The 13,537-nt window shown below is 39.7% G+C and overlaps 1 long non-coding RNA gene across 1 annotated transcript in view, besides 1 other annotated feature; it reads left to right on the forward strand.

Moving 5' to 3' along the window:
- Positions 1-2,429: 2,429 nt before the first annotated feature.
- LOC124902062 (uncharacterized) overlaps positions 2,430-13,537 on the forward strand; it is a 28,795-nt gene continuing 17,687 nt past the window's right edge. The window contains exon 1 of the long non-coding RNA XR_007061176.1: positions 2,430-2,523. This is a non-coding gene — a long non-coding RNA (uncharacterized LOC124902062). The remainder of the gene's footprint in view (positions 2,524-13,537) is intronic.
- Positions 12,319-12,820: an enhancer, noted in NCBI's record as "NANOG hESC enhancer chr8:35838029-35838530 (GRCh37/hg19 assembly coordinates)". NCBI's record gives its function as "activates a minimal SCP1, AML or CMV promoter by ChIP-STARR-seq in naive H9 embryonic stem cells {active_cell/tissue: H9 hESC(naive)}" and the evidence as "EXISTENCE:reporter gene assay evidence [ECO:0000049][PMID:30033119]".

The following is a 13,537-nucleotide window of genomic DNA, read 5'->3' on the forward strand; positions in this document are numbered from 1 at the left end:
GTGACTATAAAACATTGAGATTTTCTTGTGTGTGTTATCACAGCATACTCTAGTTCTGACTAACAGAGATCCGTGCAACCTAGTTTAAGGTAAGGGGAGTGTCATGAAAATATTCAACAAGGAATCTTAGGCACATCCTAGATTAGAATAAGGAACAGTTAGGCTTCCCTAGAACAGGAAGCTAAACAATCAGAAACCAGGGCTATTTTATTAATATCCTAGGAGCTGCATAGCCTCTCACATCTCTGCATCTCTCTGCTTACTCATGACTTTTTCTTTCTCCCTCAATAAATGTTATATACTGAGTCATCATACCCATGGCCCAGTGGGGATGATCCCAGCCTTGGTTTGATCTTCCAGCTCAGAACCTTACCAACTACCACCTCTCTCTGGTCTCTTGATTTACATTATTGGGAGAAATAGTAATAATTCTAGGGCCTCTTTTGAACTAGGTCACAAACTACATGTCACTGGCTAGTCAGTGTTGGTTACTGGTTTACAGTTTGCCAAATCAGTTGTGCCTCTGTGGGAGTGTGCTGAGGAGAGTGGTAGTAGTTTAGTAACAAGACATGTGGTATAAAACTTAGCTGTTTGGGACAGCAAAGACTATGTGATAGGATCCAGTGTCTTAAAAAGGTTTATAGACAGAACACATATCTTAAAATGTGTTGATTTGCCACACTGGTTTTATGAAAGAAGTATTATTAGTAGTATTATATCATCATCATTATTACCAAATTAAATTTGTGAAACCAAAATCAGCAAAATAACTTGGCTGAAATTACATGCTAATAAGTGTAAGATAGAGTGAATTTAAAATTTAAGCCTTGGTATGTTTAGCTGACTCCATATTTCATGCTCTGCAATATACTAAGTCATCTCAGAGATTTGAACTGTCCCCATCAGCAAAGAAAGTAGGAATAACTTCATAGTGAAAATAAAATAAAAATTATTTGAAGATGTCACAGACAAGCTGTTTATTGTGAAGGGAGTAGTTTCTCCATCCCCATGTTTACTATGGCACTCTTCACAGTAGCTAAGATACAGATGCAGCTTTAGTGTCCAACAGCAAATGAATGCATAAGGAAAATGTGGTATATATAAATAATAGAATACTATTCAGCCATGAAAAAGAATAAAATCTTGTCATTCAAGGCAACATGTATGGAACTGGAAGACATTATGTTAAGTGAAATAATCCAGGAACAGAAAGTTAACCACCATATGTTCTCAGTTATATGTGGAAGCAAGCTAAAAAGAAAAAAAAAAGTTGATCTCAGAAGTAAAAAGTAGGACAGAGAATGCTAGAGGCTGGGAAGGGTAGGGTGAAGGGAGAGACAGAGATTTGTTAAAGGCTACAAAATTACAGCTAGATAGGAGGAAAATGTTCTAGTGATGTAGAGTAGCAGTCCTCAACCTTTTTGGCACCAGGGGCTGGTTAGGGAAAGACAATTTTTCCACGGTGGGGAAAGGGGTATGGTTTTGTGATAAAACTGTTCTATCTCAGATCATCAAGCAATAGTTAGATTCTCAGAAGACGTGTACAGCCTAGATCCCTTGCATGCACAGTTCACAATAGGGTTTGTGTTCCTGTGAGAATCTAATGCCCCCCTGTGATCTGACAGGAGGGAGAACTCAGATGATAATGCTCGCTTGTCCCCTGCTCACCTGCTGTGCAGCCTGGTTCCTAAAAGGCACTACCGGTCTGTGGCCCAGGGGCTGGAGACCCCTGTTATATAGCACTATAGGATGACTATCGTTAAAAATAATATATGATATGTAGTTTCAATAGCTAGAAGATGGAGAATTGTGAATGTTTCCAACACAAATAAATAAATGTATGAGATGATGGATATGTCAATTTCCCTGATCTGATCACTATACATTGTATATATTTAAACATCATTGTGCACCCCATGAATAGGTGCAATGATTATTTGTCAATTTAAAAATTAAAAAAGAGAAGTGGGATGGTTGGTGCATTCTGAAAGGGAAGAAGGGTTTCAGAGTCCCAAAAACATTTCCTTCCAATCCATTTTTTCCAAATTTTTTTGTGAACAAAATTTTGAATGTACAGAATTTTAGATTATAAGCCATATATTCAGCGCCTAGATTCTAAAATTTATATTTTGCTATATTTGCCTTAATATCTACATATTCATCTATCAATCCATCTTATTTTTGATGCATTTATAAGTGAGTTGTATGTATTGCTGTGTTTTCTTTTCAGCATGTCCTTTCCTTTCAGTATGAACTACAGTTTCATATTTGTTTTATTTAGAAAAAATATATATAAAGTGAAATGCACAAATTTAAGTGTCCTGTTTGATAAGTTTTCACTAATGCATAAACCTCCATAGCCCAGCCCCTTCACAAGAACATTACCATCACACAGAAAATTTCCACCTTCTCTTTCCCAGGCTGTCCTCACTCTCAACATCCCCTCCAGCCAACTGCTGTTCTGATTTTCCCTCCAGAAACTGACTTCACCAATTCTAGAACTTCATACAAATGGATCACACGGTATGTATTCTGATCTGCAGGCTTTTTACACTTTCGTGTTTTTGAAATGCAGCCATGTCGGTGTTTGTATCAATGGTTTCTTTTTACTGAGCAAGCTTATAAGCACTAAATAAGATAAATGCCTTCATTTTATGCTTCTTCTATGTATCAGTGATGCAATCTTGAAAAATAACTAGCTTGAATGTGTAGGTATTTTATGTGGAGTATGGGGAGAACGTGATGTGGAGTGGGTATCTGGTCTACGTGCAGAGTTGTCACATTCCACTGTATCAATATACCACAGTTTATCCATTCTTCTATTCATCGACAACTGGGCTTTCCCATTGTCCGTTACTATAAATTAACCTCTTATCAACATTCTTCTTCAACTGTTTTTGTGAATATATGTTTTCATTTTTCTTGAGTAAATACCTAGGAGTGAAATGATTGAGTCATTGGGTGGGTGGATGTTTAATTTTATAAGAAATTGCCAGACCTTTTCCCAAAGTGATTGTGTTGCCATTTCAAACTCTCACCAATGATATATAAAAGTTGTTTCTTTCTGCATCTTTACTAACATTTGATGTTTTCAGTCTCTTTAATTTTAGCTTTCTTGGTGGGTGTGTAGTGCTGTCTCATTGTGGTTTCAATCTGCATTTCTCTGATGACTAACGATGATGAGGACTTTTTTCATGTGCTTCTTGGCCACTTGCATAGCGTCCTTTGTCAAGTATTTATTCAAATATTTTGCCCATTTTTAAATATGTGGTTTGTGTTTTGGTTATTGAATTGTAGGAGTTCTTTATGTGTCCTGGATATTGAATATTTGTCAGATATATATTTTGTGACTATCTTCTCCCAGTCTGTGGGGGTACTTATTCATTTTCTAAATTATGTCTGTCAGTAAAAGATTTTACATTTTAGTAAACTCTTATTTGTTATTTTTTTTCTTTTATGGTCATTGCTTTCTGTGTTCTAAGAAACCTTTGATTTCTTCAAGTTGTAAAGATATTCACCTATATTTTCTTCAAGAAGCTTTACAGTTTTAGCTTTTATGTTTAGGTCTGGGATCTATCTCAAATTGGTTATAGTGGATGGTGTGAATAGTGAGTCACTTTTTTCCATGTGACTATCCAGTTTTTGCAGCATCGTTTGTTGAAAAGGCTTTCCTTTATCTGTTAGATTGCTTTGGCTCCTCTGTGAAAAATCAATAGTCCTTCATAGATGGGTCTGTTGCTGAGCTGTGTTCTCTTCCACTGATTTATCTGTTGATTCTTAAGCCACCGTTATACCATCTTGACTACTGTAGTTTCATAATAAGTCTTCAAGCCAAGTGGTTTGAGTCCTGTGTTTTTGTTTTGTTATTCAAGATTGATTGAGATATTATAAATCCCATTTCATCCTTTGTAGGCCGAATATTAGCCCCCAAAGATATCCACCTCCTAGTCTCTGGAGCCTGTAAATTTTACCTTATTTAGAAAAAGGGTCTTTGTGATTAAATTTGGGATTTTGAGATGGGACAATGATTCCAGAGTCCCCAGGTGGGCTCTAATTCCGTCACTTCCTCTAATTCGATCTCTTACTCTTTTTTTTTTTTTTTTTTGAGATGGAGTCTCGTCCTGTCACCCAGGCTGGAGTGCAGTGGTACAATCTTGGTTCACTGCAAGCTCTGCCTCCTGGGTTCACGCCATTCTCCTGCCTCAGCCTCCCAAGTAGCTGGGACTACAGGTGTGTTCCACCATGCCCGGCTAATTTATTATATTTTTTAGTAGAGACGGGGTTTCACCATGTTAGCCAGGATGGTCTCAATCTCTTGAACTCGTGATCCACCCTCCTAGGCCTCCCAAAGTTCTGGGATTAGAGGCGTGAGGCACCGTAGCCTGCCACATATTTTTATAAGAAGGAAGTAGGGGGGGATTTGACATACAGAGAAGAAGGCCATATGAAGACACTGGCAGAGATAGGAGTGATATGGTCACAAACCAAGGAACACTAGCATTTGTCAAAAGCTAGAAAGGCAAAGAAAAGATTATTCCCTGCCTACTAAAGAGAGTATAGCCCTGTCAAACCTTAGTTTCAGCCCAGTACTACTAATTTTGGACCTCTGTTCTTTGGACTTTGAGAGAAGAAAATTCTGTTGTTTTAAGTCATCTAGATTATAAATTTTTTTATTAATAGCCACAGAAAACCAATACACATCTCCCTTCCCTCTCTTAACTATATGATACATTGACAAGTAGCATGTAAAGTACTACTTAGATAGACAGACTTCAGTAAAATAAATTCTTATTAGAAGACATTGTTTATAGTGGAATACATGCAAACTTTGATGTCAGACCAGTAGTTTTCAATTATGCCTAGGCATTAGTCTCCTAGGCAACAATTAACAAATCTCTGTGCCTGGTGCCCATCTTTAAAGACTAAATAGTTTAGTGGGGTCTGGCACAAACATTTTCTTTAAAGCACTCAAGGCCTTTGCTCCTCAAAGTATGTCCTGTGACCACCAGCAGCACTGGCATCATCGGTGACTTTGTTAGAAATGCAGAATTTGGGGCCCTACCCTAGAGCATAAATCTGCATTTCACCAAGATTCTCAGTGAAATGTGTATACAGGAAATATTAACAAACCCTGATATGGGTGACTCCAATGAGCAGCAAGGGTTGAGAAGCACTAATTTAGATAAGTAGTTTCATTTTATATCTCTTCCACTTATCAAGAGGATGCTCCTGACCAATAACTTATTTAAATCTTAGAATTTTAATCTGTGGTATAGAAAGAGCAATACCTACTTTGCAGCGTTGTTATAAGGGCCAGATGTGATAATTAATGGAGCGGGACCCTGGCATAGATACCTATTTCCATAAGCAAATGCATGTCGATATGGGCACACAAGCAGTGACGTCCAAATTAATAGCTCCCTAAACTAAGCTGCCCTAGGGTTCTCTTATGTTATCACCCAATTCTGTAGAGAATGCAAAGAAAATAATCTGTTACAGTCTAGAGACCATAGATGGAGCAGAGTTTGAGGTAGGTTAGATGAGGCTGAATTAAGACCTAGACCACCATAAGTCTGAATCTGAGTTGCATGCAGAGGAAGAAAATAAAGTTTTGAGTCAGTCTTGAGGCTAAAGAGAACGGAGAAAAGCACATTTCTTTGTTATTTACAGTTTAGATTTACTGAGCTGGAAAAGAACAATAAGGTAGGACCATTGATTCAGAGATGCCAGGAATTCGTAGAAAGAATAAAAGGTGACCAAGTGATTTGGCCATAGGATTTACTGGAAATCAGCAAACATTGATTGGACAAATAGTAACTATCACCCTGAGCACAAGTTCTTTGCTAATAAACTATGGTAGAGAGGAAATAAGATGCAAAAAGAGTGGGCCAAAGGTAGCATGTTTGAGTTTGTGAGAGAAATGGAAGGAAACAAATAGATCACAAATTCCAAAAACTCAAAGTTTAAAGAAGAGAAAGATACGTTGCTCAGCAGCAAAATTCAGAAGGAAAACAAAACTACCTGTATTAGTCATGGTTTTCTAGAGGGACAGAACTAATAGGATAGATGTATATATAAAGGGCAGTGTATTAAGGAGTTTTTACTCACACAATCACAAGGTCCAACAATAAGCTGTCTGCAAGCTGAGGAGCAAGGAAGCCAGTCTGAGTCCCAAAGCTGAAGAACTTGAAGTCCAATATTTGAGGGCAGGAAGCATCCAGCATGGGAGAATGATGTAGGCTGGGAGGCTAAGCCAGTCTAGTGTTTCCAAGTTCTTCTGCCTGCTTTTATTCTGGCCATGCTGGCAGCTGATTTGAATCATGCCCTCCCAGAATAAGGGTGAGTCTGCCTTCTCCAGTCCACTGACTCAAATGTTAATCTCCTTTTGCAACACCCTCACAGACACAACCAAGAACAATAGTTTGCATCCTTTAACCCAATCTAGTTGACACTCAGTATTAACCTTCACACTACCCTCTCAGCATTTCCATAGCAAATGAATGCTCAACAGGGCACACAAGCAACACCACCACATTCAGGACTCTCCAAAGCGAATCACTATAAAATTCTCTGGAATTATGACCCTCTGCCTTCTCCAGTCCACTGATTCAAATGTTAATCTCCTTTGGCAACACCCTCACAGACACAACCAAGAACAATACTTTGCATCCTTCAATCCAATCTAGTTGACACTCAGTATTAACCTTCACACTACCCTCTCAGCATTTCCATAGGAAATGAATGCTCAACAGGGCACAGAAGCAACACCACCACATTCAGGACTCTCCAAAGAGAATCACTATAAAATTCTCTGGAATTATGACGCAACCCTGTATCATGCCATCACCCTCCAGGCCTGCAGAACTCACATTTGAGCCTTCAGAATTGAGCCAAAGTCCTTCCAATAACTAGTACCTCTTACCTAACCTCCTTGTTGAGTCATCAATTACACATTCTTTATAGATGTGTGTTTTTCTTTTTTTACTTTTTTAAAAGCTTTTTAAAAATAAAGGCTCAATGAAGGCAGGGGAAGCCTCTTTCACAAATAGAAAGCCCCATTTCTAGAAGACAGAAAGTTAACACCATTTACATTATACCCTAAACATTATGAATAATGTTCTTGGTTTATTTTCTACTCCAGCTTCTTAAGTGTATCATCATAGTGGTATAGTTACAATGTCCTGAATGCTGCAGGCACCTTCTCAAAAGTGCCACCTGATAAATGCATTATTTCTACCAGATGTGCCTTTTTCTCATCAGCAGTTATGGATACTATTTTTAGCCTGGGCTGAGTTTTATCTTTCCACAGCATGGCTGTTGCTTCAGTTCCTTTCATTATACTTTGCTTCCATTTGTTTAAAAAAATAAGACTTATTTCAAAAAATTTCCAAGGATCCCTTTAGCAAATCCCAGTGCTATTTCTTCTAGTCACCTAAACAGAACAGGCCAAAGAGTGTAGCCTTTAGACATTCTCTTAAAGGTTAGTGTTTGATTTTGAGAAAACAATATGAACTGTAATGATTTAAAGTTAAAAAAAATCCAAACCTTCTAATTATTACATATTTTTATTTTATAAAGAAAGGAATAAGTGATACATAAGGAATAAGTGATACATAAGCAATGTGAAAATACTTAGTTTTTAGTATAAACAAAATTTATATTCTACAACAAATGTATGCTAATTTTTAAATAATGCTTTCGTTTTGTCCCATCCAAGTAAGAAATTGTAAATAAAAAAGAATAAATGCAAATATACAATTTTTTTTCCTTTTCCTCTCCAAACTCACCCCCCAAACTTTCCTACCCTATTTGTACTTGAGCTCTGGCTATTAGGGACTCTACTGGGAGACTTTCTTGTCTTCCAACTTGCAGCTAGGCTTTGCTAAGGGGAAGAATTTGCAGGATAGATGGGGGCAAGAGGAGGCTGAGGTCTGGCTCCTTCCCTACTGGACCAGGCTCTTTCCCTGCTTCCCTACTGGTCACCTTTGATTGACTGCATGTTTCTACTGAAGGCTACAACTTCTGTTGGGCAGCTTGATTTTATAGTGACTCTTTTCACATTCTGGCATCTGATACCTTCCCTTGATCCTTTAGGTATAAGAATAACAATTCCCACTGTGCCTGGCCCTGGGTATTGCACCACCCTGACTGGCACCCTTCAATCCTACACATATTTATAAAAAGCCCCTATTTCAAATTTATCTAAGTTTCCCTATTTGATTTTTTTCCATTTATTTCCTGCTTGAGGCCCTGATTGATTCAGAAGCATTTAGCTTTATTCATTCATTAGTTCATTTACTCATTCATTCATTCCTGTATTGATTCATTTATTCAGAAAATGTTGAATATCTACTATGTGCTATAAGCTATTCTGGGCCTTAGGAATACAAACACTGAACAAATAAGAAATCTCTCCCCTTATGAAACCTAGGTCTACTTAGGGAAGACAGATAACACAAAACAAGTAGTTACACTATAGTATGTTAGAAAAAGGAAAGTGCTATGAAGGTAGAAGAAAGAGGGAAAGAGGGATAGGAAGCATGAGTGAAGGAAGGGGCACAATATGGCTAGGGAAGGTCCCACTGAGAAAGTGACACTTGGATAACAATCTGTAGGAGATGAGAAAAAAAAGCAGCTCTCCAGAAGGAAGCATTACAGGCTGAGGAAATAGCAACTGCAAAGGCCTGAAGGCAGGGAAGTGCCTGGATGCTTGAGGGCAGTATGGTTAAAATGAAATGAGGGGAGGTGAGTTCTGGGTAATGAGTTCAGAGAGCTGACGGGATGCAGGATGTATAGGGCAGATAGGCCATTATATGGGCATTGACTTCTACCCTGAGTGGGTCAGGGAGCCATTGGAATGTACCCAGCAGATGAGTAACATGAGGAAGCTTCTGTTTTGGCAGGATTACCCTGGATGTTGTATTAAGAACAGAATGTAAAGAAGTGGAACTATCTCAGGGAGAATTATTAGTAGGCCACTGCAATAACAAAGTGAAGGGAAATGGTGACTTAGAGCAGGAAGATGGCTGAGGGGATGAGACATGGCCAGCTTTTGGATACACCTTGAAAAAAATCACTTGATAGATGTACTGAGGGATTGGATGTAGTATGTGAATGACTACATTCTTGAATAACTCCAGGGCTTATAGATTGAGAAAATGGAAAGATAAAGTGGCCACTAACTGAGATAGGAAGGACTTTTTTAGAAGGAGAAGGTTTGGGATGAAGGACTGGATTTTAGGTTTGAACATAATAAGTTTGAGATGTCTTTTAGACATTCCAGTATAGATGTCACAAAAAATATTTATGTCTGGAGTTTAGAGGAAAGCTCTGGGTAAAAAATGTAAACATGGTAGCTATTAGCTTTTATATTGTTGTTACGAGCATAAGGCTGCATGAGTTTATCAAGGGAGGGAAGCCTCAACAGAGCAGAGGACTGATCCTAAGGTGCTCCAACAATAAGCCATCATGATGATGAGGTGAGTGTTGGTAGAGAAGACCAAGAAAGAGTGTCCAGTGAGGTCGAAGGATATCCAGGACAGTATTAAATCCTAGAAGTTAAGTGAATACAGTGCTTCACAAAAGAGGGAGTGATTATATTAAATGATCCTGAACAAGATGAGGATTTAGAATTGTCTGGTGGATTGCCAGGCACAGTGGCTCACGCCTGTAATCCCAGCACTTTGGGAGGCTGAGGCAGGCAGATCAAGAGGTCAGGAGATCAAGACCATCCTAGCTAATATGGTGAAACCCCGTCTCTACTAAAAATACAAAAAATTAGCTGGGTGTAGTGGCACATGCCTGTATTCCCAGCTACTCGGGAGGCTGAGGCAGGAGAATCACTGGAACCCTGGAGGCAGAGGTTGCAGTGAGCTGAGATTGTGCCACTGCACTCCAGCCTGGACAACAGAGCGAGACTCCATCTCAAAAAAAAATTGTCAGATGGATTTGGTAACATGGTGGTCACTGGTGACCTTCCAAAGAATAGTTTCTATGGAATGAAGATGGTAAAAGCCATAATGGAGTAGGTTCAAAAAGGAACGTGAAGGGATGAATCAAGGAAATAGTATAGACCACTCTTTTGAAGGTCTTTACTTAAAAGAAGATTGGACAATAAAATGTTGTTGAGAGGAAAACACAGCATTATATTTGTGTGCAAATGGATAATATCTAATAGAAAGGCAAAACAATATTATGCATGGGAATGAACTGGGAATTTCTGGAGCAGTGTCCTTGAGGAAAGAGGGGCTGGAATAAATTTTTACTTGTGTAGGAAGTGGCCCTTGCCAGGAACATGCATGTTATAAAGAGTAACATGCATAAGTGCAGGCAGGTAAGTAGATGAGGAAGTGGGAGTGTGTAGAAGTTCTATTCTGAATGCTTGTATGTTCTCATTAAAGTAAAAAGCAAAAATGCCAGTTGGAAGTGAGAATGGAGAGGAGGTGTTGGAGATTTGAGAAAAGAAAAAAGAAGTGAAATAGTAGTCTAAAAGAGTGTGAAATGAAGATATGCCCAAAGTAAATATAGTAAGATTTCTGGGAAGCATTAAGGGTTCAACTTCAAATGGTTGAAGTTAGTAATCTTGAGTTTGAAGTGATGCCAGTAAGCATTGCTGTGTGTTTTTCTCAGTCGTCAACAACTGCATGAAAGTAAAGATGGAATGAGAAAGGAACTGTGTTTAACCAGGCAGTGATTTAGCCAAGTGTCATAGGTTATCTTCCCTAGGAAATAGACTTAGAAGCAGACATTTTCATGCAGGTGGTTTTGCAGGGAGTATTCTTGTGAAAACTATTTCTAAGGGAGTAAGGGTAGCAGATTTGCAGAGAAGGAGGGAGCAGAACTGATTTCTGATATTGCCTTCAGAGATTGTCAGGACTCTGAAACTGGAATGACCCTTGAAACATGGCTTCAGTTGAGGAAAGGGGGCAGAGTGCCTTTGTATCCCAATTTTAGCCAGTCTTGGGATGTGGGCTGCCCCTAGGGATGGAGGGTAACTTTGGATAGGGTAGTTCCCTCTGGCTGAGGACAATGCTGGGAAGGAGTCAGCTGTGAGTCATCAGCAGGCAGCACTTCTGGTAATTGGGAAAATAATTCCTTCAGTACTAAAAAGAGGATCTGGGAGGCATACCACAGCATTCATTATAGCCCACCCCTTGTGCAACTGAAACCCACTCACTTCATATGATAAATTCTCACTATCTGAGGACAGCTACCCCAGGGTTTCAGATGGTCTATTTTCCTGGGGAAACCTATAAGAGGGAAATTGGTAGGGTGAACTACAGTCTCTGTTGCTAAAATTTAGCTGGTCTTGGGGCCACAACTGATACATTATTCCCTACTACCCATTATAGACTTTGAGTGCTATCCTTTAGTGCTATCCTTGACTAGCACTTCTGTTAGTCTAGACAGCTAACTTGGGAGGTATTCAAACCCTAATCCATCGGGATTCTGAACCTCTGGTCACCATGCCCCTCATGAGCCATGACTACTCTATTTGTTGATATAGTATGAAAAGTTATCAAGAGAATAATAAAACAGACCCTAAGGTGATCCCCAATGATTCCTACCTTCTGATGTTTGTGCCCTTGTGACATCTCCTCCCCTAAAATGTGTGTGGCATCAATGATATACTTTTTTATTTGGGAGACAGATTCTCGCTCTGTCACCCAGGCTGGAGTGCAGTAGTGCAATGTTGGCTCACTGCAAACTCCGCATACTGGGTTCAAGGGATTCTCATGCCTCAGCCTCCCAAGTAGCTGGGATTACAGGCATATGCCACCATATCCAGCTAATTTTTGTGTTTTTAGTAGAGACGGGGTTTCACCATATTGGTCAGGCTGGTCTCAAACTCCTGGCCTCAAGTGATCTGCCACCTTGGCCTCCCAAAGTGCTGGAATTACAGGCGTGAGCCATTGCACCCGGCCGTATGAGGTACTTTTAATTAGTAGGATATGGCAAAGGTAATGGGATGTCACTCCCATGATTACATTGTGGTATATAAGGCTCTGTGTTGCTGGTAGACTTCTACTGATCTTCTGCTAGCCTTGATAATCCAAACTTCTATATTGTGAGCCATCTATGGACACATGCCAGGGAGCTATGTGGATGGCATGTAGTAGCTGAGTGAAGCCTTTGGCTGATAAGCAAAAACAATCTGAAGCTCTCAGTCCCACATTTACAAGAAAATAAATTCTGCCAACCACCTTAGTGAGCTTTGAAGCTGATTCTTCTTTAGTCAAGGGGAGAACACTGGCCTTTAGTAAAAAGGAGTGGACCAGATCTATAGCTCTAGAATGTTCAAGAAATCTAGTCACTCAAAGTTTGACATAGTATGAAAATGTTCAAGAAATCTAGTCACTCAAAATTTTCAAATATCTACATGTTCCCATCTCAAGGCCCAGAGTCACATTACTTCTCAGAGTCCTAGTCTTGGTGTAGTAGACTTTACAGGTTTTAGAATTCAACTGTATATGGCACTCTACTACCAACTAAGTCCTGGGCCTCACCTTCAGATTTGTCTGTTCTCCAGCTGCAGAAGATGAAAGACTCTGCATGTTGCCAAGGAAGCTTTCATTGTTCACCTTAAATTGGAGATTAACTACTGTTGGCCTTTCATTATCTTTCTACGATGCTTTAATAACCCCCAGCAACACCCATCCAATTCTATATAGTTCTATATAATTAGTACTTCCTAAATCTCTCAAATGCTTGAGACATAGTACCTGCCAGTGTACTTTTACTATGGATATCCCATCTCAGCTTGCCACCAATGGTAGTTTTAATAATCACAGCACTGCAGCATTCTAGGGTTGTCATAACTCCACCTCCCACCAGTGATGTTGTCCTTTTTGCCAGCTTGGAGACAGATGATCCCTTTCCAAAACTGGACTTTAGAATCTGCTCTCTGGCACCACTCTTCATGCAACTGTTTAAGTCTCATTCCCTGTTGAACAGACTTGGAGGTGGAGATTTGTATGCAGGTGTTTTATAGGGCAGCAGTTGGGGCAAGAGACCTGCATGGGAGTAAAGAGGGTAGGATTAGGCACAGGAAGAGGCTGAAATGCCACATGGCTGTGACAGAACACAGCTCTTAGCTGATATTGGGAGAACAGAGCTGAGATGGCCCTTCAGAAATGTCCTTAATGGAGGCAAAAAAGTGCTGGGCTTTGTACGCCAACATCAACCAGTCATTGGATGTAAGCTTACCCTGGAGGGGAGGGGTAGGCTTGGGCAAGTTAGCTCTCTTTTGTGGATGGAAATTCCTGGGGATGACACTCAGTTGTGGGCCAGGAACAACCAACAGACTTAGCATCATACAATGAATGCCTCTGTCTGGCAGTGGGGATCTTGGTGGTGCGGTGCAGTGCAGTGAAAAGGTGGTGCTGGAGAGAATGAGGCAGCTATGAGAGAGCATGAGATTTAGATAGGTGAGAAGGAAAAAGGGAATGCGAGGATAAGGAGGGTCGTGAATTGTAGATTCAAATGATTTCAATTGACTGTTAGAGTCAGCGAATCAGAGGTAATAAGCTGGAAAAGT

The sequence above is a fragment of the Homo sapiens genome, chromosome 8 (assembly GCF_000001405.40).
Source record: "Homo sapiens chromosome 8, GRCh38.p14 Primary Assembly".
Lineage (NCBI taxonomy): Eukaryota > Metazoa > Chordata > Mammalia > Primates > Hominidae > Homo > Homo sapiens.